General features: G+C 54.1%; 1 protein-coding gene and 1 long non-coding RNA gene across 13 annotated transcripts in view, besides 3 other annotated features; one reads left to right on the top strand and one right to left on the bottom strand.

Annotated features, from left to right (window-relative positions):
- Positions 1–24,356, top strand: part of ZBTB46 (zinc finger and BTB domain containing 46) — a 90,226-nt gene that overhangs the window by 10,430 nt on the left and 55,440 nt on the right. The window contains exon 1 of one of the 12 annotated variants that reach the window (NM_025224.4): positions 17,963–18,130. The exons of 10 other annotated variants lie outside the window; for them this stretch is intronic. The gene's annotated coding sequence lies outside the window, so the exon portion shown is untranslated. Of the gene's footprint in view, positions 1–17,962; positions 18,131–19,921; positions 20,130–24,356 lie in introns of those variants that run through there. One more of the 12 variants, XM_005260195.5, reaches the window with a different exon arrangement.
- Positions 451–15,390, bottom strand: ZBTB46-AS1 (ZBTB46 antisense RNA 1). Its single transcript, NR_110081.1, has 3 exons — positions 15,311–15,390; positions 2,595–2,716; positions 451–1,344 (listed from the first exon to the last, which is right to left on the bottom strand). It is a non-coding gene; the product is annotated as a ZBTB46 antisense RNA 1 (long non-coding RNA).
- Positions 6,950–7,700: an enhancer, noted in NCBI's record as "H3K27ac-H3K4me1 hESC enhancer chr20:62447119-62447869 (GRCh37/hg19 assembly coordinates)". NCBI's record gives its function as "activates a minimal SCP1, AML or CMV promoter by ChIP-STARR-seq in naive H9 embryonic stem cells {active_cell/tissue: H9 hESC(naive)}" and the evidence as "EXISTENCE:reporter gene assay evidence [ECO:0000049][PMID:30033119]".
- Positions 7,701–8,451: an enhancer, noted in NCBI's record as "H3K27ac-H3K4me1 hESC enhancer chr20:62446368-62447118 (GRCh37/hg19 assembly coordinates)". NCBI's record gives its function as "activates a minimal SCP1, AML or CMV promoter by ChIP-STARR-seq in naive H9 embryonic stem cells {active_cell/tissue: H9 hESC(naive)}" and the evidence as "EXISTENCE:reporter gene assay evidence [ECO:0000049][PMID:30033119]".
- Positions 20,781–21,282: an enhancer, noted in NCBI's record as "H3K4me1 hESC enhancer chr20:62433537-62434038 (GRCh37/hg19 assembly coordinates)". NCBI's record gives its function as "activates a minimal SCP1, AML or CMV promoter by ChIP-STARR-seq in primed H9 embryonic stem cells {active_cell/tissue: H9 hESC(primed)}" and the evidence as "EXISTENCE:reporter gene assay evidence [ECO:0000049][PMID:30033119]".

Here is a 24,356-nt window from a genome sequence, read left to right as displayed (position 1 = left end):
AATGCAGTGGCGTGATCTTGGCTCACTGCAACCTCTGCTTCCTGGGCTCAAGTGATTCTTGTGCCTCAGTCTCCTGAGTAGCTAGGATTATAGGCGTGTGCCACCACACCCTGCTAATTTTTGTACTTTTTTTAGTAGAGACCAGGTTTTGCCATGTTGCCCACGCTGGTCTTGAACTCCTGAGCGCGAGTGCACCCCCATCTGCCCACCTGGAACCCCCAAAGTACCGGGATGACAGTGAGCCACTGTGCCTGGCCTTTTGTTCCCATTTTTATTTTTATTTTATGTATGTATTTTTGAGGTGGAGTCTCGCTCTGTCGCTCAGGCTGGAGTGCAGTGGTGCAGTTTTGGCTCACTGCAATCTCCACCTCTCGGTTTCAAGTGATTCTCCTGCTGCCTCAGCCTCCTGAGTAACTGGGATCACAGGTGCGCGCCACCATGCCCAGCTAATTTTTTTTTTAAGTTTTAGTACAGACGGGGTTTGTCCATGTTGCCCAGGCTGGTCTCGAACTCCTGAGCTTAAGTGATCCACCCGTCTCGGCTTCCCAAAGTGCTAGGATGACAGGTGTGTGCCACCGCTCCCGACTTTTTGTTTCCATTTTTAAAACATGTTTTGTACAGACAGGGTCTCGCTGTGTTGCCCAGGCTGGTCTCAAACTCCTGGGCTCAAGCATTCATCCTGCCTCAGCCTCCCAAAGTGCTGGGACGACAGGTGTGAGCCATAGCACCTGGCCCGTGGTCTGGAATTCCGAGACTCACTGTAGGCTTCACTCTCATGTTTTCGTGCTTGCCGGGTTGGCCGTGTCCTGTGCTCGCCGTGTGGTCAGTGCTGTTCCTGTTTCTCCTAACAGCAGCCGTTGACTGATGGTGCATCTTCCTGTGGACATGTCTTTAAACCCAAGCGTGGGAGGGTGAGGAAGCTGTCAGTCTGGTGTAGGACTGAGCCCAGCCTTGGCCAATCACGGAACCCATTGTACTGAAATGGAATAGGCCTCCTGTGCTCCTTTGTCGGGGCCTAGAGCCCATCAGTCCCAGGGCTGGGTTTTGCATGCGTGTACACGTGTCAGCTCTAGGGAGAGCACCCCAGGCTTTTCTCATTGGGGGCCCGTGTCACATACAAAAGTGCCCGTCTCCCCCATGGGTGTGCTGGTGGGTGAATTCAGGGCGCTTGAACTCAGGAAGGCTGGACGTGTGTCCCGTCGTTTATTCCCGGTTCTCCCAGCCACCTCCGGTTCCCGACGCTGTGAGTGCAGCTTTGCTGGCTGGTGCTGCAAGTGTGTTTAGGATTTTCTGCCTGTTTCGGGAGTGTATCGGTTCCGCTTGATCAGGGCTGTGTTCATGTTTCTAAAATGTTAATGGTAAGAGCTCACTATTGAGTAAAAGCACAGATGGTAATTTTTCCCGCAAAAAGCTTCTTAGATAGGGGAAGTTAAAGGTGTAAGTTCTCGCAGTGTGCTGAGTGACTGGCTGGGTTTTTCTGGTGAGTAAGTGCTTGGGGCAGGCTGCGGGACAGCCTTGTGCTCTGAGAATTGTTAGTGATATCACAAAGGTTTTTATTTCTGAAGGGAAACTAAGGGAGTCAGGATATTTAAAACCGCCTCGGTGCTTCCTAAACAGTGGCTGTTGTTTTTTTCCAAAGTGAATGAAACATTTCAGGTTAATGTTACTCTGTACTTTAAGTATTTCTGTTTAGCATCACCTTATTAAAAGTGAGCCTGGACCAGACATGGTGGCTTACACCTGTAATCCCAGCACTTTGGGAGGCCGAGGTGGGCAGATCACCTGAGGTCAGGAGTTTGAGACTAGCCTGGCTGACATGGTGAAACCCCATTTATACTAAAAATATATACACAAAAAAATTAGCTGTGCGTGGTGGCACACACCTGTAATCCCAGCTACTTGGGAGGCTGAGGCAGGAGAATCACTTGAACCTGGGAGGTGGAGGTTGCAGTGAGCTGAGAGCGCACCATTGCACTCCAGCCTGGGCAACAAGAGGGAAACTCCGTCTCAGAAAAAAAAAAAAAAGCGTGCCTGCTTGTAGTCCCAGCTGCTCAGGAGGCTGAGGCAGGAGGAGCGTTTGAGCCCAGGAGTTTAAGGCCACCCTGGGCAACACAGCAAGACCCTCTCTAAAATAAAAAATAATAATAGTAATAATGGCCAGGCACAGGGGCTCAGGCCTGTAATCCCAGCACTTTGGAGGCTGAGGTGGGTGGATCCTGAGGTTAGGAGTTTGTCTTGGCCAACATCGTGAAGCCCTGTCTCTACTGAAAAAAAAAAAAAAGGCCGGGCGCAGTGGCTCACGCCTGTAATACTTTGGGAGGCTGAGGCGGGCGGATCATGAGGTCAAGAGATTGAGACCATCTTGGCCAACATGGTGAAACCCCGTCTCTACTAAAAATACAAAAATTAGCTGGGCGTGATGGCGCATGCCTGTAATCCCAGCTACTTGGGAGGCTGAGGCAGGAGAATCTTTTGAACCTGGGAGGCGGAGGTTGCAGTGAGCTGAGATCGCACCATTGCACTCTAGCCTGGGCAACAAGAGCGAAACTCCATCTAAAAAAAAAAAAAAATTAGCCATGCATGGGGGCAGACACCTGTAGTCCCAGATCTTCGGGAGGATGAGGCAGGAGAATCGCTTGAACCTGGGAAGCAGAGATTGCAGTGAGCCGAGATCGTGCTGTGGCACTCCAGCCTGGGCAACAGTGTGAGGCTCCATCTAAAAAAATAATAAATAGGCTGGGCGCGGTGGCTCACGCCTGTAATCCCAGAACTTTGGAAGGCCCAGGTGGGCGGATCACCTGAGGTCGGGAGTTCGAGATCAGCCTGACCAACATGGAGAAACCCGGTCTCTACCAAACATTCAAAATTAGCTGGGCATGGTGGCGCGCCTGTAATCCAGCTACTCGGGAGGCTGAGGCAGGAGAATCGCTTGAACTGGGGAGGTGGAGGTTGTGTGAGCCGAGATTGCACCACTGCACTCCAGCTTGGGCAACAAGAGCAAAACTCTGTCTCAAAAAAAAAATATATATATATAATATACTTCTTAAAAAGTGTGCCTGTTTACATTGGCCAGGCGCGGTGTCTCATGCCTGTAATCCCAGCACTTTGGGAGGCCGAGGCAGGCGGATCATGAGGTCAGGAGATCGAGACCATCCTGGCTAACATAGTGGAACCCCGTCTCTATTAAAAATACAAAAAAACAAAATTAGCTGGGTGTGGTGGCGGGTGCCTGTAGTCCCAGCTACTCAGGAGGCTGAGGTGGGAGAATGGCGTGAACCTGGGAGGCAGAGCTTGCAGTGAGCCGAAATCGTGCCACTGCACTCCAGCCTGGGTGACAGAGCGAGACTTCGTCTCAAACAAAAAAAAAAGTGTGCCTGTTTACTGTTTTTATGACTTTTGCTTTCTTTTCTTCGTTATACGTTGCTAACGTCATACACTGGGAGTTTGCATGTTTTTGCCTGAGGAAATGGTTATGTTTCGCTGCCTACGGTGATATATGGAAATACATCTATAGTATTTCGTTGCTTTTATTTTAGTTTGTATGTAGACTTGTTCTGTACTTCGGAGTGTTTTGAAGAACTTTTCGGAAATCATTAGCAGACACCCTCTGCTGGACGGTGAAATGCGTGTCCCGTGACTGACAAAGCGGCTGTCAGTGCTCCGAGCGTCCCAGTTGCTTTTCTTACTTGTTGGCGGAGTGAGGCAGGGAGTTACGAGGTGGCACTAACTCTGATATCCCATCTAGTTAAAGCCATTTTCACGGCTGCTCACTGGATTTCACTAGACGTTGCAGTAACATTCAGGGAGGCCGAGAAGTGGTTGTTTTAATCCGTTTACCTCTGGTCTGGCCCCTGGGACACTGTTGCTGTTTTTGCTTTCTTCAGTGTGGAAATTGCTAGAGACCTTGGGAGAAGGGAGGGTAGGAGGTCCCATCGTCTGTGGGACCCTGTGTCTGTGTAAGGCCATGTCGAGTGCCCATGGCAGAGCCCTCACAGGAAGCAGAGCTGTGATCACAGACGCCTCCGGGTGAGCCTGAGATTCAGGGTCAGGAAGGGTCTGAGTGAGACACACACCTGCACCCTGGTGAGGGCTGGCTCGTCTTCTTCGGGATGCGCTCCTGGAGGGAGCAAAGCTGGCAGGCAGCATCCATTAGCATCCCGGGTGCGCTCTCTGTTCGCTTAATGTTATTGATAACAACCTCATTTTGTACTTCACCTAATTTTTGCCTTGTCTTAAGAAGGAAGCGCATCCAGGAAGTCATGAGTTGGTGTCTCAGTGATGCTCTTCTCTTCTCAGACAGAGTCTCACTCTGTCGCCCAGGCTGGAGTGCAGTGGCGCGATCTCAGCTCACTGCCACCTCCATCTCCCGGGTTCAAGCGATTCTCCTGCCTCAGCCTCCTGAGTAGCTGGGATTACAGGCGCACACCACCACGCCTGGCTAATTTTTGTATTCTGTAGTAGAAACGGGGTTTCACCATGTTGGTCAGGCGGTCTTGAACTCCTGACCTTGTGATCCGCCCACCTTGGCCTCCCAAAGTGCTGGGATTACAGGCTTGAGCCACTGCGCCTGGCCTTCTTTTTTTTTTTTTTTTTTGAGCTGGAGTTTCGTTCTTTCACCCAGGCTGGAGTGCAGTGGCGCGATCTCGGCTCACTGCAACCTCTGCCTTGCAACCTCTGCCTTCCAGTTTCAAGCGATTCTCCTGCCTCAGCCTCCCCAGTAGCTGGGATTACAGGTGTCTGCCACCATGCCCGGCTAATTTTTGCATTTTTTTTTAATAGACACGGGGTTTCACCATGTTGGCCAGGCTGGTCTCGAACTCCTGACCTTGTGATCTGTCCGCCTCGGCATCCTAAAGTGTTGGGATGACAGGCATGAGCCACCGCGACCAGCCAGTGATGCTTTTCTTGACATGCTGACATGAATACATAACTATCAGGAGAGATGGCGAGTGCCCAGGTGTTGGCTGGAGCTGTGGCCACTGTTGCTGTAGAACATGCCCTGGGGGTCCGCACTGGCCTGGCCCACCCTCCCTCTGCAGAACTGACTGCGGGGCGGCACTGCGCTGCTCTCCTCCTCACGAAGACCCAGGGTTGGACCTCCTTACGCAGCCCAGCTGGAGGGGACCGTGACTTGGATGCAGGGGCTGCACCGAGGGCTTCTGGGCTTTGCATCTGGTTTCTGGGTGGCTTTGCCACGTGCTTTCCAGCAGGACCGTGGTCAAGGCATGCCTCACCTGGCAGGGGCAGCGTGGATGGCGCCAGTGGCTCTCACCCCAGCGCCCTTGTCCAGCTCTACAAAGGGCCCCTTGCAGTGTACCTCAAAACTACAGACTCAAAAGGCAGGGTCCCTGGCGGATGGGACCATGTGAGTCCTGGGTGAAGACCCCCAGTGCCACCACTCAGAGCGTGGTGCCGTGCAGTCTCTGTAGGTGAGCTTGCTGTTTGGGCGAGTTCCTGGGGCTGCGTTACATGGGACCATGGCCTGAGTGGCTGAAAACGGTAGAGCCTTATTCTGTCACAGGGCTGGAGGCTGACACCCAGCATCGGGGTGGACGGGGCCACTCTTCCTCCCAAGGCTCCAGGGGAGGGTCCTCCTGCCTCTTCAGCTGCAGGTGTTGACCACAGTCCCTGGTGCCTCTTGGCTTATAGACGCCTCGCTCCAGCCTCTGCCTCTGTCTTCACACAGTCTCCCCTGCGGGTGTCCAGGTTTTTTCCTCTTCTTTCTTCTTCTTCCTTTTTTTTTTTTTTTTGAGACAGAGTCTCACTCTGCTGCCCAGGCTGGAGTGTAGTGGCACCATTTCAGCTCACTGCAGCCTCCACCTCCCAGGTTTAAGCGATTCTCCTGCCTCAGCCTTCCAAGTAGCTGGGATTACAGGCGTGTGCCACCACGCCTGACTAATTTTTTGTATTTTTGGTAGGTACAGGGTTTCACCATGTTGCCCAGGCTGGTCTCGAACTCCTGACCTCAGGTGATCCGCCCACCTTGGCCTCCTGAAGAGCTGGGATTACAAGCCTGAGCCACTGCACCCGGCCTCTTTTTCTTTTTCTATTTTTTTTTCTTGAGACAGGATCTCACTCTGTGGGCCAGGCTGGAGTACAGTGGCACAAGCACAGCTCACTGTAGCCTCCTTCTCCCAGACTCAAGGATCCTCTTGCCTCAGCCTCCCAAGTAGCTGGGACTACAAGCATGCACCATCATACCTGGCTAATTTTTTTACTTTTTGTAGGGACAGGGTCTCCCTATGTGGCCCATGCTGGGCTCAAGCGATCCTCCTGCCTCTGCCTCCCCAAGAGTTGGGATTACAGGCATGAGCCACCACATCTGGCCCTTTCCTTTTCTTTTCTTTTCTTTTTTTTTTTGAGACTGAGTTTCGCTCTTGTTGCCCAGGCTGGACTGCAGTGGCGCGATCTTGGCTCAACGCAACCTCTGCCTCCTGGGTTCAAGCGATTCTCCTGCCTCAGCCTTCCTGAGTAGCTGGGATTACAGGCATGCGCCACCATGCCCGGCTAGTTTCGTATTTTTAGTAGAGATGGGGTTTCTCCATGTTGGTCAGGCTGGTCTCGAACTCCTGACCTCAGATGATCTGCCCGCCTCAGCCTTCCAAAGTGCTGGGATTACAGGCGTGAGCCACCGTGCCAGGCCTGGCCTTTTCCTTTTCTTTTAAGGAAGCTGGTCCTATTGGGTGAGGGCCCGCCCTAATCCACTATGACCTCATCTTAACTTGATTATATTTGCAAAGACCCTATTTCCAAATAAGGTCACGTTTGCAGGTTTAGGACTTCAGCAGACACATTTCAGCCCTTAACAGCATCACAGCTTGGGTTTTCTTGATGCATCTTTCACACGTATTTCTCTATGGAGGCTTCTCCACACATCAGCAGCTGCTACCTCTCGTGGCCACTGTATCCTTGACGCTGCTGTTATTTACAGCAGAGGTGGCAAGTAACCAGCGTCACCAAAATATTAACTAATGCATTCAGCCAGTGTGCACGCAGCCCTGGGCCTGTGGCAGGTCAGGTTCCTGGCCTGGGTACACAGCAGGTCATGGAGTCCTTGCTTTGCTGGGTTATGCAGATGGGGGAGATGCTTTGAGTATCTTGGGTGATGTGAGCCTGTGAGGAGAGACACGGGGTGGGTGGGGAGGGAGTCATGTTGAGGGTGAGCAGAGATGGAGCCAAGAGGGGCAGCTGAGTGTTGCGGCTGCTTGTGCCTCCCAATCCGAAGCAGGACTCGGGCCCTCCTCTGGGCACCCCCTTTGCCTTGCTCACTGCACCTGTGCCCACTGCATCTGTGCCCACCGCACCTGCACCCACTGCACCTGCACCCACTGCACCTGCGCCCACCTGCGCCCACTGCACCTGCGCCCACTGCACCTGTGCCCACCTGTGCCCACTGCACCTGCGCCCACCGCACCTGCACCCACCGCACCTGTGCCCACCTGCGCCCACTGCACCTGTGCCCACCTGTGCCCACTGCACCTGCGCCCACTGTACCTGCACCCACTGCACCTGTGCCCACTGTACCTGCACCCACTGCACCTGTGCCCACCTGTGTCCACTGTACCTGTGCCCACTGCACCTGCACCCACTGGACCTGCGCCCACCTGCACCTGCACTCACTGCACCTGTGCTCACCTGCACTCACTGCACCTATGCCCATCTGTACCCACTGCACCTGCACCTTCTGCACTTGTGCCCACCTGTACCCACTGCACCTGTGCTCACCTGCACCTACTGCACCTGCACCCACTCGACCTGCGCCCACCTGCACCTGCACTCACTGCACCTATGCCCACCTGCACTCACTGCACCTATGCCCACCTGTACCCACTGCACCTGCACCTTCTGCACCTGTGCCCACCTGCACCCACTGCACCTGTGCTCACCTGCACCTGTGCCCATCTGCACCCACTGCACCTGCACCCACTGGACCTGTGCCCACCTGCACCTGCACTCACTGCACCTGTGCCCACCTGCACTCACTGCACCTATGCCCACCTGTACCCACTGCACCTGTGCTCACCTGCACCTGTGCCCACCTGCACCCACTGCACCTTTGCCCACTGCACCTGCACTCACTGCACCTGTGCCCACCTGTACCCACTGCACCTGCACCTACTGCACCTATGCCCACCTGCACCTGTGCCCATCTGCACCCACTGCACCTTTGCCCACTGCACCTGCACTCACTGCACCGGTGCCCACCTGCACCCACTGCACCTGCACCCATTGCACTCACTGCACTTGCACTCGTGCCCACTGCACCTGCGCCCACTGCACCTGGGCCCACTGCACCTGTGCCTTCAGCTCAGACTTGGGCTCTCGGCCTTTTGTGTCTTCTCAGCAGCTGGTGAGCTGTGGCCCCTTTTCAGAATAGCATGTTTTGTTTGTTTATTTTGAGACAGGGTCTTGCTCTGTCATCCAGGCTGGAGTGTAGTGGCGCAATCTCAGCTCACTGCAGCCTCGACGTCCTGGGCTCAAGCGATCCTTGTGCCTCAGCTTCCTGAGTAGCTGGGACCCCAGGCATGTGAGACCATGATCAGCTCACAATAGCATTTTTAGTGCATCCAGTAAGATCCCTGGAAAATGAAGGGTAGCAACTACTGAAATATCATTGCTAAAATTCAGGAAAGTTTGATTTGTGAGGTAGTAACATGTGGAACTTTAATTTAGCACATAGCATTGTGAATGGTGCATCTGATATTCCTAATTCCGAAGTAGGGTGAGTATCGAGCATTCTAAGTTGCCTGCGGTGGCCATGGTGCGATGTGGACATGGCTGTGTCTGTGGCTTGTCACCCACAGTCAGACTCCTGAGGCCCAGGCTTGCTGCACTCCTCTGGGAGGTCAACCCCAAATGAGGACCCTTGCCTGGGGGTGGGAGGAGGCAGGTCTTGGGGTTCTCTCCCCCTGCAGAGGCAGGTCTTGGGCCTCCTGTTGAGGGGTGGGGCTGCCTGTGGGTTTCCAGATGAGATTCTCTCTCACCGCATTTGCACCGCTGGATTGTATATTTTCCCAGTTTTGTAAAAGTTATATTATTATTTTAAAACCTAATTATATTTTTAAAAACTTATTTTGGAACTTTTCAAACATACACAAAATTAGAGAGAACGTCCACGTCGCCTGGCTGCGGGAACCCCCAGTGCTCTGCTCTTGTCTTACTCATCTCTCCCACTCTCTCCCACTGTTTTTTCTTTTTCCTTTCTTTTTTTCTTTTCTTTTTTTTTTTTTTTTGAGACGGAGTCTTGCTTTGTTGCCCAGGCTGGAGTGCAGTGGCGTGATCTCGGCTCACTGCAAGCTCTGCCTCCCGGGTTCATGCCATTCTCCTGCCTCAGCCTCCCTAGTAGTTGGGACTACAGGCGCCCACTGCCATGCCCGGCTAATTTTTGTATTTTTAATAGAGACAGGGTTTCACGATGTTAGCCAGGATGGTTTTGATCTCCTGACCTTGTGATCCACCCGCCTCGGTCTCCCAAAGTGCTGGGATTACAGGCGTGAGCCACCGCGCCCGGCCCTTCCCACTGTTTTTTCTCTCAAGTGTTTTAAAGCAAATCTCAGTTTTACCCTCGGTGCTTCGTTGTGTGTGGCTCACACGCAGCCGGGCACCCCGCAACACTTCCTCAGCGTCGCGATGCTGGGCTGGGCTCAGCGTTCTTGACTGTGGCCTGCACATTTTCACTGTGGCTTTACTTGAATCAGAGTTGGGATGAGGGCCATGTGCTGCTTGTGGGTGGTGATGTCCCTGAAGTTGCGTTTCTTCTCTCTGTTTCATGCTACTTATTTGCTGAAGGATCAGTTTTGGTTCTGTGACACTTCCTACCTGAAGGTCTGGCTGGGTGCATCCTTGTGACCTTGAACTCCTGCCTGAGCCGTCAGTAGAACCAGGTAGAGGCGGGAGGGCTGGGACTCGCCCGCGCAGGGCAGTGGCAGGGGAGCAGTTACTCTGGTGTGTAGCCACAATGCTTACATTGGAATTTCCAACTTAATGTATTTTATTTATTTATTTATTTTTTTTTTTTGAGATGGAGTCTTGCTCTGTCTCCAGGCTGGAGTATAGTGGCACAGTCTCAGCTCACTATAACCTCTGCCTCCTGGGTTCAAGTGATTCTCCTGCCTCAGCCTCCCGAATAGCTGGGATTACAGGCGCGCTCCACCACACCCGGCTAATTTTTGTATTTTTAGTAGAGACGAGGTTTCACCATGTTGGCCAGGCTGGTCTCGAACTCCTGACCTCAGATGATCCACCCGCCTCAGCCTCCCAAAGTGCTGGGATTACAGGTGTGAGCCACCGTGCCTGGCCCCAACTTAATGTATTTTAAAACACGGGTTGTTTCATATTTTGATGCCTGTTTTTGTTTTGTTTTGTTTTTTTGAGACGGAGTCTCACTCTCACCAGGCTGGAGTATAGTGGTGCGATCTCGGCTCACTGCAACCTCCGCCTTCCGTGTTCAAGCAATTCTGCTGCCTCAGCCTTCCAAGTAGCTGGGACTACAGGCACGCGCCATCACACCCAGCTAATATTTTTCTCTATTTTTAGTAAAGACGGGGTTTCACCATGTTGGTCGGGATGCTGTCAATGTCTTGACCTCATGATCCACCTGCCTTGGCCTCTCAAAGTATTGGGATTACAGGCATTAGCCACCACGCCCAGCCGTAGTTTTTGTTTTGTTTTGTTTTGTTTTTTGTTTTGAGATGGAGTCTGGCTCTGTCACCAGGCTGGAGTGCAGTGGGGTGGTCTTGGCTCATGGCAACCCCCACCTCCCGGGTTCAAGTGATTCTCCCGCCTCAGCCTCCCGAGTAGTTGGGATTACAGGCGCCTGCCACCACACCCAGCTAATTTTTTGTATTTCTTTTACTAGGGACGGGGTTTCCACATGTTGACCAGGCTGGTCTTGAACTCCTGACCTTGTGATTCGCCCGCCTCCACCTCCCAAAGCACTGGGATTATAGGCGCGCACCACATTGCCTGGCTAATTTTTTGTATTTTAGTAGAGACGGGGTTTTACCATGTTGGCCAGGCTGGTCTCGAACTCCTGACCTCGTGATTCGCCCGCCTCCGCCTCCCAAAGTGCTGGGATTACAGGTGCACACCACATTGCCCGGCTAATTTTTTGTATTTTTAGTAGAGACGGGGTTTCACTATGTTAGCCAGGATGGTCTTGATCTCCTGACCTCGTGATCTGCCCGCCTCAGCCTCCCAAAGTGCTGGGATCACAGGCCTGAGCCTCCTTGCCTGGCCTTGTGAAAAATTTTAATGTTAATTTTCTTATTTCAAGTTGATTTTCATTTAGTTTTTACTAAAAATGCAAATGTAGTTTACCGTTGCTTCTCTTTTTTTTATGTAGGAAAAGTTGATGCAAATTTTGCCTGAATTTGGAGTTTTCCTATTAGTGAGAGTTTTGTTCCGAAAAGATCGCCGCCACTTTGGTGGGTCAGCACTAAAGCCTTGTTTCAATATCTGCAGGGTCAGTTCTTTTGAATATTTTAATGCTTCCACGTTTGGAGTCTAAGAGCTATTTTTACTTTAGTTTTTTTTCCCAGGCAAGTACTTGGTCTGAACGATGTATGAGCCAGACCTGGCAGAAAAGTGGGAGTTGGTGAAATAGATGTGCTACTTAGTGACAGGGACTGTGATTCTAACATTTTGTCTTATGGCAGAGTTGGATGAAAGGGGTTTGTTCCTGCACCATGGCTCACCTGCCCAGTGAGTCCTGAGTCCTCATGTGGCAGGGAGTCAGACAGCAGCAGCTCTCTTCCCAGCGGGGTAGAGCTCACCTGGCTGCAAGGTGAGCCGGCTGGCCCGTCGCCCAGCTCAGAGCTGACCCTCACACGTGCAGATCTCTGCTGGGCCCAGGGGTCAGGGTCAGTTGTCTGCGTCACCTATGGGCCACCCCCTCTCTGCACCCCCGAGATCTTCCTGCTCTCTGCGTTGCCTATGGCTATGAGCACAGTGGGCTTCCTGGAAATACTTTCAGAGGAGGTGACAGTCGTATCCTTCCAGGGCCCCTCCTGCCCTGTGGAAGAACTTACTTCTGCTCCTGGAAGTCAGAAGCTGGGAGGCCTGGGGCTGTAGTGTCTTCTGTATGAGAGGTGGGGTGGGGCTGGGGAGAGGAAGGCTGCTTGACTCTTCTTCAGGGAGACCCACCCCATGGCAGCTCCGAGGTCCTAGTGGGCTGGTGGCTCGCATCTTGTCCACCTGTTGTCGTCTCTTGCCCCTAGGGGGGCTCATGCCCATCCTGTGGGGTTCTGGGACCCAGACTCGCCCCTGTGGGCTGGGCGGGGTGGGGCTCATGCCCATTCTGTGGGGTTCTGGGACCCAGACTCGCCTCTGTGGGCTGGGCGGGGTGGGGCTCATGCCCATCCTGTGGGGTTCTGGGACCCAGAGAGGCAGACTCTTCGCCTGCCTGTTGGGTTTGTGAAAAGTCAAAGAGAGTGGAACACGGACGCCGGCTGGTGCTCTCCAGTGTTCTCCGGCTCTGCCGCTGGAGCTCCTCGTAGGAGTGAGGAAAGAGAGTGGAGCCTGGACGCCAGCTGGTGCTCTCCGGCTCTGCTGCTGGAGCTCCTCGTAGGAGTGAGGAAAGAGAAACGTAGATTGCTCTCATGTTCGCGCTCTGTTCACCTCCTGGGTGCTGATTTCCTGTGGCGTCATCCTACCCTGCATCTGTGCTGGTGGGCACGTTCTCGCGTTTGTGTTTTATTTTTATTTATTTTTTTGTTTTTTGAGACAGAGTCTCACTCTGTTGCCCAGACTGGAGTGCAGTGGCACAATTTTGGCTCACTGTAACCTCTGCCTCCCATGTTCAAACGATTCTCCTGCCTCTGCCTCCCTAGTAGCTGGGATTATAGGTGCGTGCCACCACGCCCAGCTAATTTTAATATTTTTAGTAAAGACAGAGTTTCGTTATGTAGGCCAGGACGGTCTCAAACTCCTGATCTCATATGATCCACCTGTCTCAGCCTCCCAAAGTGCTAGGATTACATTTGTGTTTTATGAATAAGGACCTTGGTTTGCGAGGGGAAGGGGGGTTTTGGTGCCTATCCTGAGTGTGGTCGGTGTGTGTGAGCTTGTGCAGACACGACCAGCTGGGCTTTCTGTTCTCATTTCTTCCCGTTAATTTCTGATAAACTTCTAAGCATCCACGTGACTGGCATTTTTAATGTTCCTGGAATTGGGTTTTGCTCAGTTTTAATACTTGACGGTTTTCTGGGCCATCTTCGAATTGTCGAGTGTTTGGGTCTTTTTCTGTTTGTCACTGTTAGCCATAGCAGTGCTTGGAACATCTTGGAACCAATTAGCTTTTTGGGTTATTTCCTTGGGGCAGAGTCTCAGAAGTGGAATTAGTCAAAGAGGCAGAGGCATCTGTAGGCCTCATCCCCACGCTGCAGGCTGCTTCAAGGGCCGCCCCACTCTGGGCCTCCTGTGTCACGGCCACCTTTGTAATTGACATTACGTTAATGTTTGCCAGTTCCATGTATTTAGAGTTTTCTTTTCTTTTTTTTTTTTTGAGAGAGGGCCTTGCTGTGTCACCCATGCCGGAGTACAGTGGTGCCATCTTGGCTCACTCCAACCTCGACCTCCCGACTCAAGGGATCCTCCCACTTCATCCTCCAGAGTCGCGGGGACTACAGGTGTGCACCACCATGCCCGGCTAATTTTTTCTATTTTTTGTAGAGATGGGGTCTCACCATGTTGCCCAGGCTGGTCTTGAACTTTTGGGCTCAAGCCATCTGCTCGCCCCGGCTTCCCTCAGCGTTGGGATTTCAGGCATGAGCCACCATTCTGGCCTGGCCTTGAAATCTTTTCTCAGAGTTAAGCACGTGTCTTTTAAGTCCTTTCCAGAAATCTTTAAAATTGTATCATTGAGTTAAGCCACACTGGCCACCACACGGCTAACTTCGTAAGGGAGAAGAGGGGAGAGGAAGGGAGGTCGCGGAGCTCCTGCTGTCTCCCGGAGTCCTCTCCACCTGCTGGGCTCTGGCAGGTTTGCTGAGGACCGCGTGAGGGCGCTGCTGTCTTCTGGGCTCAGGGCTCCTGTGAGCTCCTGAGGCCTGGACCCAGGGGTGGCCTTTGTTGCTCCCTTGGGCATAATATGGGGGGACACAGGCAAGATGTGGGGCCACCACCCCAGCAGGCCTGTGCCGAACCCCAGGACCCCATTCCTGGAATAGACGCGGCCATGAGGACTGGACGCGCTGGGCGTGGCCCACGGCGGGGCCCCCAGGGCTGCGCCCCCAGGGCTGCTGACCTTGCCCCCCTTGGCTCCACCGAGTCTGCACCTTTAGTGCCCACTTCGGCCAAGCCCATGGCGAAGTGCCCCAGGCGCTGCGGTCCCTGCGAAGGGGAACGTGGAAGGCGAACGTGGAGAGCCCCTTGAGTGCCTCTGCAGCACCGGAGCACCGAGCCGCCAGCTCCCAGGTCTTACCTCATGAATCATGGAGTTTTCTTTCTTTTTTTTTTTTCTTTTTCTTTTTTTTTTTTTTTTTTTTTTTGAAGCGGAGTCTCGCTCTGCCGCCCAGGCTGGAGTGCAGTGGCGCCATCTCGGCTCACCGCAAGCTCCGCCCCCCGGGTTCCCGCCATTCTCCTGCCTCAGCCTCCCGAGTAGCTGGGACTGCAGGCGCCCCCACCACGCCCGGCTAATTTTTTTTTGTATTTTTTAGTAGAGACGGGGTTTCACCATGTTAGCCAGGATGGTCTTGATCTCCTGACCTCACCATCCGCCCGCCTCGGCCTCCCAAAGTGCTGGGATTACAGGCGTGAGCCACCGCGCCTGCTGGTTTTATTTCTTAAGGCGGCCTTGGCGCCTGTCCTGGCCGAGCGCTGGACCGAGGAGGGCCTTCTCTGGGGGAGGCTCTGTCCGCCTCCCACCCACGCTGGAGGAGCTCAGGTCTCATGGGGAGGCAGGACTCGCTTAGGGGCGGGAGGTCACACTGCCCCGGAGCCCAGGCCCTGCCCTAGGAGGAAGAGCCTGGCTTCCCCCTTCCCTCCCGCCGGGCCCGGGGCTGAGACTCCTTGTGGGTCCGGATGACCCTGTCCGTGACCTCCGCCCTGGCCCCGCTTCCGCCCCACGCCCCCCTGAAGCCCCGGGCTCCGTGGCGTCTGCCTTCCGGGCCCTCCCCTGCGCTCAGCCCCCGGGGCAAGGGCTGGGAAGGATGGCTTGACTGGCCTACAGGGTACAGGGGACCCCTGACAGGTTCATCGCTGGGGCCCCATGGGCCCCCCCTCCGTCTGTGCCGTGCGGATGTGGAGACTGAGGACTCCTCCATCGAAGGCGGCCGGTGGTGAAATCCAGTAATCTGGGTGGGGTCCTTACCGCGCTGTCCGCGGGGTTTCCTCACTGCTCAGGCGGCTGCTGCTCATCCACGCCACCTCCGTCGGTCCGTTCAGCTTCCGTGAGTGTCCCCTGTGGGAAGGTCCGTTCAGCTTCCGTGAGTGTCCCCTGTGGGAAGGTCCGTTCAGCTTCCGTGAGTGTCCCCTGTGGGAAGGTCCGTTCAGCTTCCGTGAGTGTCTCCTGTGGGAAGGTCCGTTCAGCTTCCGTGAGTGTCCCCTGTGGGAAGGGCCTGTGCCGCACAAGGTGGGGACTTGGGCACACGGCCTCGGAGGCCAGACACCGGGCGAGCCCCGCTCTGGGAGTGAGACCCGCTCGGAGGGGGAGCGAGCCCTGAGGCGCCGCCTGTAAGCCAGACCCGCTGCCTCACACAGACGGGTGCTTCGCTTGTTTTGGCCTAGTACAGCTTTTAAGCAAAAAGTAACTGGTTAGGGATTCTATCATATTGCTTGATGTAAACAAATGCGGCAAAATGTTAAAAAATGGAGTAGCTGAAGGCCGGGCGCGGTGGCTCACACCTGTAGTCCCAACACTTTGGGAGGCCGAGGCGGGCAGATTGCTTGAGGCCAGGAGTTCGAGACCAGCCTGGCCAACATGGTGAAACCCCGTTCCTACTAAAAATGCAAAAATTAGCCAGGTATGCTGGCGTGCGCCTGTAGTCCGAGATACTGGGGAGGCTGAGGTGGGAGAATCACTCGAACTCGGGAGGTAGAAGTTGCAGTGAGCCAAGATGGCGCCACTGCACTCCAGCCTGGGTGACAGAGCGAGACCAAACTGACTCAAGAAGAAACAGAAAATCTGAATAGACCTATAACAAATAAAGAATCAGTAGTCAAAAAACTTCCAATGAAAGAAAAGTTCAGAAACTTTCACTACAGTTATTGTACTTTTTAGCTTCCAAAAAGAAAAGTCAATTTCAATAAAGAAATTGAATCAATAGTCAATAAACTTCCAACAAAAGAAAAGTCCATCTCTGTCTCTCTCTATATATGTATATGATTGTATATATCACTTCACTGTTGAATTCTATCAAACATTTTAAGAATTAACACCAATCCTGGCCAGGCGTGGTGGCTCACGCCTGTAATCCCAGCACTTTGGGAGGCCGAGGCAGGTGCATCATGAGGTCAGGAGATCGCGACTATCCTGGCTAACACGGTGAAACCCCGTCTCTACTAAAAATACAAAAAATTAGCCGGGTGTGGTGGCGGGCGCTGGTAGTCCCAGCTACTCAGGAGGCTGAGGCAGGAGAATGGCGTGAACCTGGGAGGCGGAGCTTGCAGTGAGCCGAGATGGCGCCACTGCACTCCATCCTGGCCGACAGAGCGAGACTCCATCTCAAAAAAAAAAACCAAAACAAAACAATTAGCTGGGCGTGGTGGTGGGCGCCTGTAGTCCCAGCTACATGGGAGGCTGAGGCAGGAGAATCGCTTGAACGTGGGAGGTGGAGGTTTTAGTGAGCCAAGGTCGCACCGTTGCACTCCAGCCTGGGTGACAGAGCCAGATTCCATCTCAAAAAAAGAGAAAGATTCCATCATATTCCTTGAGAGCATAGTGTTGCCTTTATTTTAAGCAGGTATTACAACCTTCTTATTTAGGTTCTATTTTTTTTGAAGTTACCATTTCAGGTCAGAGTTAGCCATAGCAGTATCTCAGATTTAAAATGTACACAAATAGTTTTCTTGCCTTGTTAAGCTGATTAGCTTTCTTTTCTTTCTTTTTTTTTTTTTTTTGAGATGGAGTTTCACTGTTGTTGCCTGGGCTGGAGTGCAGTGATATGTTCTCGGCTCACTGCAACCTCTGCCTCTCGGGTTCAAGCAATTTTCCTGCATCAGCCTCCCGAGTAGCTGGGATTACAGGCACCCGTCACCATGCCAGGCTAATTTTTTTTTTTAACTTTTAGTAGAGACGGGGTTTCACTATGTTGGCCAGGTTGGTCTCGAACTCCTGACCTCAGGTGATCCGCTCGTCTCAGCCTCCCAAAATGCTGGGATTACAGGCGTGAGCCACCTTTCCCAGCCAGCTGATTAGCTTTCTGAGAAAATTATAATATTTTTAAAAGTTGGGGCCGGGCATGGTGGCTCATGCGTGTAATCCCAGCACTTTGGGAGGCGGAGGCGGGTAGAGCACCTGAGGTCAGGAGTTCGAGACCAACCTGGCCAACATGGTGAAACCCTGTCTGTACTAAAAATACAAAAAAATTATCCGGGTGTGGTGGCACACACCTATAATCCCAGCTACTGGGGAGGCCGAGGCACGAGAATCACTTGAACCCAGGAGGCGGAGGTTGCAGTGAGCCGAAGGCTTCAGTGAGCCGAGATCGTGCCACTGCCCTCCAGCCTGGGCGACAGAGCGAGACTCCGTCTCAAAAAAAAGGAAAAAAAAAAAAAAGCTGATGCATGGCTTTGTGTATTAGTTTCCTGGGGCTGCTGTGAAAGTACCACCTGCTGGGCAGCTCGCGGCAGCAGAGGTGTCTCCTCTCAGTTCCAGAGTCCAGCGCTGGAACTCAGGGTGTCTCAGGGCCATGCTCCCTCTGGAGACTCCAGGCAGGGTCCTTCCTGCCTCTTCCAGCTCCTGGTGGCTCCAGGCATCCTTTGGCTTGTGACTTTGTCACTCCAGTTTCTGCCTGTGGTCACATGACCTTCTCTCCTCCCTGTGTCTTTTTTTTTCCTTTAGAGATGGGGGTCTTGCTCTGTCACTCCAGCTAGAGCACAGTGGTGCAATCGGAGCTCACTGACTGCAGCCTGCAACTCCTGGGCTCAAGTGATTCTGCCGCCTCAGCCTCTCAACGTGCTGCGATTAGAGGTGTGTACCACACTGCCCGGCTGCTGTTTCATTTTACCTTCTATCAGCACTTAGTATGAGACATTTTTGAAATACTGTAAATCAGTATTACAGATTTAATTTTCAAAAGGTACTGTAGGTCGGGCGTGGTGGCTCATGCCTGTAATCCCAGCACTTTGGGAGGCCGAGGTGGGCGGATCACGAGGTCAAGAGATCGAGACCATCCTGGCCAACGTGGTGAAACCCCGTCTCTACTAAAAATACAAAAATTAGCCAGGCATGGTGGTGTGAGCCTGTAATGTCAGCTACTCAGGAGGCTGAGGCAGGAGAATCAATTGAACCCGGGAGGTGGAGGTTGCAGTGAGCTGAGATCGTGTCACTGCACTCCAACCTGGCAACAGAGCGAGACTCCTTCTGAGAAAAAAAAAAAAAAGTCATGTAGGTTTTTTTTGTTGTTGTTTTTTTGAGACGGAGTCTCACTATGTTGCCCAGGCTGGAGTGCAGTGGTGCCAACTCAGCTCACTGCAACCTCCGCCTCCCAGGTTATAGCGATTCTCCTGCCTCAGCCTCCCGAGTAGCTGGGACTACAGGCGCCCCCCACCACGCCTGGCTAATTTTTTTAATTTTGGTAGAGACGGGGTTTCACCATGTTGGCCAGGCTGGTCTCGATCTCTTGACCTGGTGATCCACCTGCCTTGGCCTCCCAAAGTGCTGGGATTACAGGCGTGAGCCACCGTGCCCGGCCTGGTACTGTAGTTTTGTTGACCCCAAGTGTATGTGTTGGGCCTGTCCAGCATTGAGATGTGGTCCCTGGGCTGAGAGGAGGGCAGGGCAGTGTCAGGCAGCGAGGTGGCATGTGTGCTGTCAGTGTAAGAACAGTGACGCCCGGGAGGGCTTCCTGGAGGAGGGGGAGGCTGTGTCCATTGGCTGAGAGGGCTCAGGACTGCTGTTGTGATTCATGGCAGGATTCGCCTTTACAGATCTGACCTGTTCCACTGTGTCATCTATAACCCAAATGACAGACTAGGAGCTCAGCTGCCCCGGCCCCCTCCTGGGTGCCCAGAGCACCTTGTGCCCATCTGGAGGCACCCCTGCCACCCTCACACATGGCCCGAGCCAGGCACTGCTCCAGGCTTCCCCTGCGTGTGACTGGTGGGCACCTGGCTGGAGCTGGAGGGATGCTGAGGCCTGGAGCTGCTGAGGTGGGAGTGGAAGCCCCTCCATTCAGGGACCCCACAGCCCACCGAGACCCTGGTGGCTGGGGCTGAGATGGGACAGCGCAGGGCAGTGAGAGGTGTTTGGAAAGGGGAAGCGTGCTGGGCTCTGGCTGGGGACGCCCGACAGAAGGAAGTGACGTTATGTCGGTGCAGTGGCTCACGCCTATCATCCCAGCGCTTTGAGAAGCCAGGGCGGCAGGTTCGTTTAGGAATTCAAGACCAACCTGGGCAACACGACAGAACCCCGTCTCTACAAAACAAAAAAATTAGCCCGTGTGGTGGCGTGCCCCTGTGGTCCCAGCTGCTCAGGAGGCTGATGTGGGAGGATGCCTTGAGCCTGGGAGGTTGAGGCTGCAGTGAGCCGAGATTGCGCCACTGCACTCCAGCCTGGGGGACAGAGTGAGACCCCATTACAAAAACAAAAAGAAGGAAGTGACGGTAGCCAGGTTCGGGAAGGCGGAGGAGGCGGCCTGGGCGTCAGAGCCGGGCTGGAGATGAAGGAACTGAAAGGGGCCAGTGGGCAGGGAGGGGCGGGGCTGGCAGGGCCTCCGACAGAGACCTGGGCAGCCCGGGGCCTGGGCAGCCCGGGGCCGGCAGACATGGCTTTGCATCTTCAGATGGCCACATGGGGGCTGCCATGTGGAAAACCTAAAGTCCTCATCGCCAGCACCCACTTGCTCACTGGAGATGATGTGGATAGTACCACCGGTCTCGCTGTCGAAAGACGACTCTGCTAACATGTCTTGGAGTGTTTTCTAGTCAGGAGCTCACTTAAAAATTTTGAAATGCGACCACGAACAATGGTAATATGATGTATATGAAATTTAATTTGTACGACAGTTTCACAGTATTCATGTCTTAACCTTAATTTTTTCAGAAGAAGGTAAACCATGAACGCCTTGGTGTGAGGGGAGGTGCCTGGTTCCTGCTGGTGAGGCGCCCTGGGGGATGGTGCCCACACTGGTCCCTGCCTGGATGGCATCCTGGGGGATGGTGCCCACGCCTGGTTCCTGCTGGTGAGGTGCCCTGGGGGAGCCGGGTTGGTGGGTTTCTTCGCAAGAGTGGGCAGAGCTGCCCAGAAACGTGTTTCCTCCTGTTGGCGTCTGTGGCATCGCGCTCTTTGGTGGTAGAAACGGGGCGTCAGTGACCTGGGGCTGCCATGTCAAAGGGCCACAAAGGGAACGTCGTAAACAACAGACATCTGTTCCCTCCAGTCCTGGAGGCCGGAGGTCTGAGGTTTGGGCATCAGCCCGCCGCGGTTCCTGGGAGGGTGCTGGGGGCCTGAGGTTCGGTCGTCGGCCGCGGCGGTTCCTGGGAGGGTGCTGGGGGCCTGAGGTTCGGTCGTCGGCCACGGCGGTTCCTGGGAGGGTGCTGGGGGCCTGAGGTTCGGTTGTCGGCCCACCGCGGTTCCTGGGAGGGTGCTGGGGGCCTGAGGTTCGGTCGTCGGCCGCGGCGGTTCCTGGGAGGGTGCTGGGGGTCTGAGGTTCGGTTGTCGGCCCACCGCGGTTCCTGGGAGGGTGCTGGGGGTCTGAGGTTCGGTTGTCGGCCCGCCGCGGTTTCTGGGAGGGTGCTGGGGGTCTGCTCCAGGCCTCTCTCCAGCCTCTTGCCGGGGCCTCCGCCGCTGCCGCTTTGTGCCGACCTGTGTCCAAATTTCTTCCCCTTTTAAGGGTACTTATCATACTGGATTAGGGGCCCCCAGTAACCTCATTGTTTTTTTTTTGAGAGGGTCTCATTCTGTCACTCAGGCTGGAGTGCAGTGGCGCAATCTCAGCTCACTGCAGCCTCCGTCTCCCGGTTCAAGTGATTCTTGTGCCTCAGCCTCCTGAGTAGCTGGGATTACAGACGTGCGCCACCACACCCGGCTAATATTTGTATTTTTAGTAGAGACGGGGGTTTACCATGTTGGCCAGGCTAGTCTCAAACTCCTGGCCTCAAGCAATCTGCCTGCCTCTGCCTCCCAAAGTGCTGGGATTACAGGTGTGAGCCATCGTGTCCAGCCCCAGCGACCTCATCTTAATTAATTGCATCTGCAATGACCTATTTCCAAATAAGGTGGAATTCTGAAATATGAGGGGTTAGGGCTTCAACATGAATTTGGGAGGCGGGGGCGGGGGGTTCAACCCGTAACAAATGGCAGTGAGGTCCTTGGATAAGCACAGGATTATAGCTGAGGAAAAATATTTTTACAAAAACTAATCCTTTATTGAGGCATAATTTACGTGCAGCAAACAGCACTTGTTTAACGAGCATAATCTGATGAGCTCGAACTCTTGGGTGGAGCTGCCGGTGGCTTTGGAGACACAGGCCGTCCCCATTGTGTCTGGAATTGGTGGGTTCTTGGTCTCACTGACTTCAAGAATGAAGCCATGGACTCTCGCGGTGAGTGTTACAGTTCTTAAAGGCGGCGTGTCTGGAGTTTGTTCCTTCTGATGTTCAGACGTGTTTGGAGTTTCTTCCTTCTGGTGGGTTCGTGGTCTTGGCTGGCTTCAGGAGTGAAGCTGCAGACCTTCACGGTGAGTCTTACAGCTCATAAAGACAGTGTGGACCCAAAGAGTGAGCAGCAGCAAGATTTATTGCAAAGAGCAAAAGAACAACACTTTCAATGTATGAAAGGGGACCCCAGCAAGTTGCCACTGCTGGTTGGGGCAGCCTGCTCTTATTCCCTTACCTGGCCCCACCCACATCTTGCTGATTGGTCCATTTTACAGAGAGCTGATTGGTCTGTTTTAGAGAGAGCTGATTGGCCCATTTTGACAGGGTGCTGATTGGTGCGTTGACAATCCTTGAGCTAGACACAAAAGTTCTCCAAGTCTTCACTAGATAGCTAGACACAGAGCACTGATTGGTGCATTCACAAACCTTGAGCTGGATACAGGGCGCTGATTGGTGTGTTCACAAACCTTGAGCCAGATACAGAGTGCTGATTGGTGTATTTACAATCCCTCAGCTAGACATAAAGGTTCTCTAAGTCCCCACCGGATCAGCTAGACACAGAGCACTGATTGGTGCATTTACAAACCTTGAGCTAGACACAGGGTACTGATTGGTGCATTTACAAACCTTGAGCTAGACACAGAGTGCTGATTGGTGTATCTACAATCCCTTAGCTAGACATAAAGGTTCTCCAAGTCCCCACCAGACTCAGGAGCCCAGCTGTCTTCACCGAGTGGATCCGGCACTGGGGCTGCAGGTGGAGCTGCCTGCCAGTCCCGCTCTGTGCACCTGCACTCCTCAGCCCTTGGGCAGTTGATGGGACCCAGCGCGGTAGAGCAGGGAGGGGCACTCGTCAGGGAAGCTCTGCAGGAGCCCACTGCGGGGAGGGGGAGGCTCAGGCATGGCGGGCTTCAGGTCCCAAGCCCTGCCCTGAGGGGAGGCAGCTAGGGCCGGCGAGAAATCAAGCACAGCGCCGGTGGGCCGGCACTGCTGGCGGACACCCTCCGCAGCTGCTGGCCCGGGTGCTAAGCCCCTCATTGCCCTGGGCCGCTCCGAGTGTGGGGCCGCCAAGCCCACACCCACCCGGAACTCTAGCTGGCCCGCAAGCGCCGCACGCAGCCCCGGTTCCCGCCCACGCCTCTCCCTCCACACCTCCCCGCAAGCTGAGGGAGCCGGCTCCGGCCTTGGCCATCCCAGGAAGGGGCTCCCACAGTGCAGCAGCGGGCTGAAGGGCTCCTCAAGTGCAGCCAGAGTGGGCGCTGAGGTCGAGGAGGCGCCAAGAGTGAGTGAGGGCTGTGAGGGCTTGCCAGCATGCTGTCAACTCTCACCATCACCACAGGAGCTTCCCGCAGCCTCTCCCCCTACCCCAGCCCAGGCAGCCCCTGGCCGGTTGTCTGCCACTGTGGACTCACTTCTGTTGTCTAGAGTTTCCTATAAAGGGAATCACACGCTTTCCTTGGTGACTGTCTTCTCTTACTCAGCGTAACTGTGGGATAATCCGTGTGGCGTGGATGTGACCTGTATAGGGGGACGGAAGGCTGAGCAGGGAGGTGCCCCAGGGTGCCGAGGCCGGGACGGAGCCCAGCAGCCCCTTCTTGTGCCTGAGCTGCCTCTGCAGTTTGGAAGCATCCCGTGTTTACCTGCTCACCTGTTGATGCACATTTGGACATTCGGGTTGTTCCCAAACCTTGGCTGTTCTGAGCGAAGCTGGTGTGAACGTTCACGCATGAGTCTGTCTGGACAGGTGGTTTTGCTTCTCGGGTAGGTACCGGAGTTGTTGGGTCCTGTGGAGTTCAGCTTTGCTGAACTGTTTTCCACAGCGGCTGCACCGTTCCATGTGCCCTCAGCAGCTGAGCAGGCTCCAGGTGCTCGTGTCCTCGAGGACACATGGTGTGGCCTTGCCTCTTAGTCCTGGCCACTCTCATGGGGGAGCTTGCTGTGGTTCCGGGCGCACTTCCCCGACAGCTGGGGAAGCCTCTGTCCATGTGTGCCTGCTGATGCTTCTTCTTTGTGATGTGTCTGTTCAAAACGTTTTCCTGCTAAAAGATTAGTTTCACCAGGCTACACGTGGTGGCTTGTGCCTGTAATCCCAGCACTTTGGGAGGCTGAGGTGGGAGGATCACTTGAGGCCAGGAGCTCGAGACCAGCCTGGCCAACATGGCGAAACCCTGTCCCTACTAAAATTACAAAAATTAGCTGGGTGTGGTGGCACACACCTGTAATCCCAGCTTCCCTGGGAGGCTGAGGTACAAGAATCGCTTGAACCCAGGAGGTGGAGATTGCTGTGAGCTGAGATTGCACCACTGCACTCTAGCCTGGGCGACAGCAAGACTCCATCTAAAAGAAAAAAAAAAGTTAGTCTCACCAGGCCACACGTGATGACTCACGCCTGTAGTCCCAGAACTTTGGGAGGCTGAGGCTGGTGGATGGCTTGAGCCCAGCACTTCGAGACCAGCCTGAGCAACATGGTGAAACCCTGTCTCTGTAAGAAATTAAAAAAAAAAAAAAATTAGCTGAGTGTGGTGGTGTGCACCTGTGGTCCTAGCTACTCAGGGGGCTGAGGTGGGAGAATTGCTTGAGCCCGGGAGGTGGAGGCT

This window comes from Homo sapiens, chromosome 20, assembly GCF_000001405.40.
Source record: "Homo sapiens chromosome 20, GRCh38.p14 Primary Assembly".
Lineage (NCBI taxonomy): Eukaryota > Metazoa > Chordata > Mammalia > Primates > Hominidae > Homo > Homo sapiens.
Note: the sequence above shows the minus strand (reverse complement) of the source record. Positions and strands in the feature narration are given on the sequence as shown.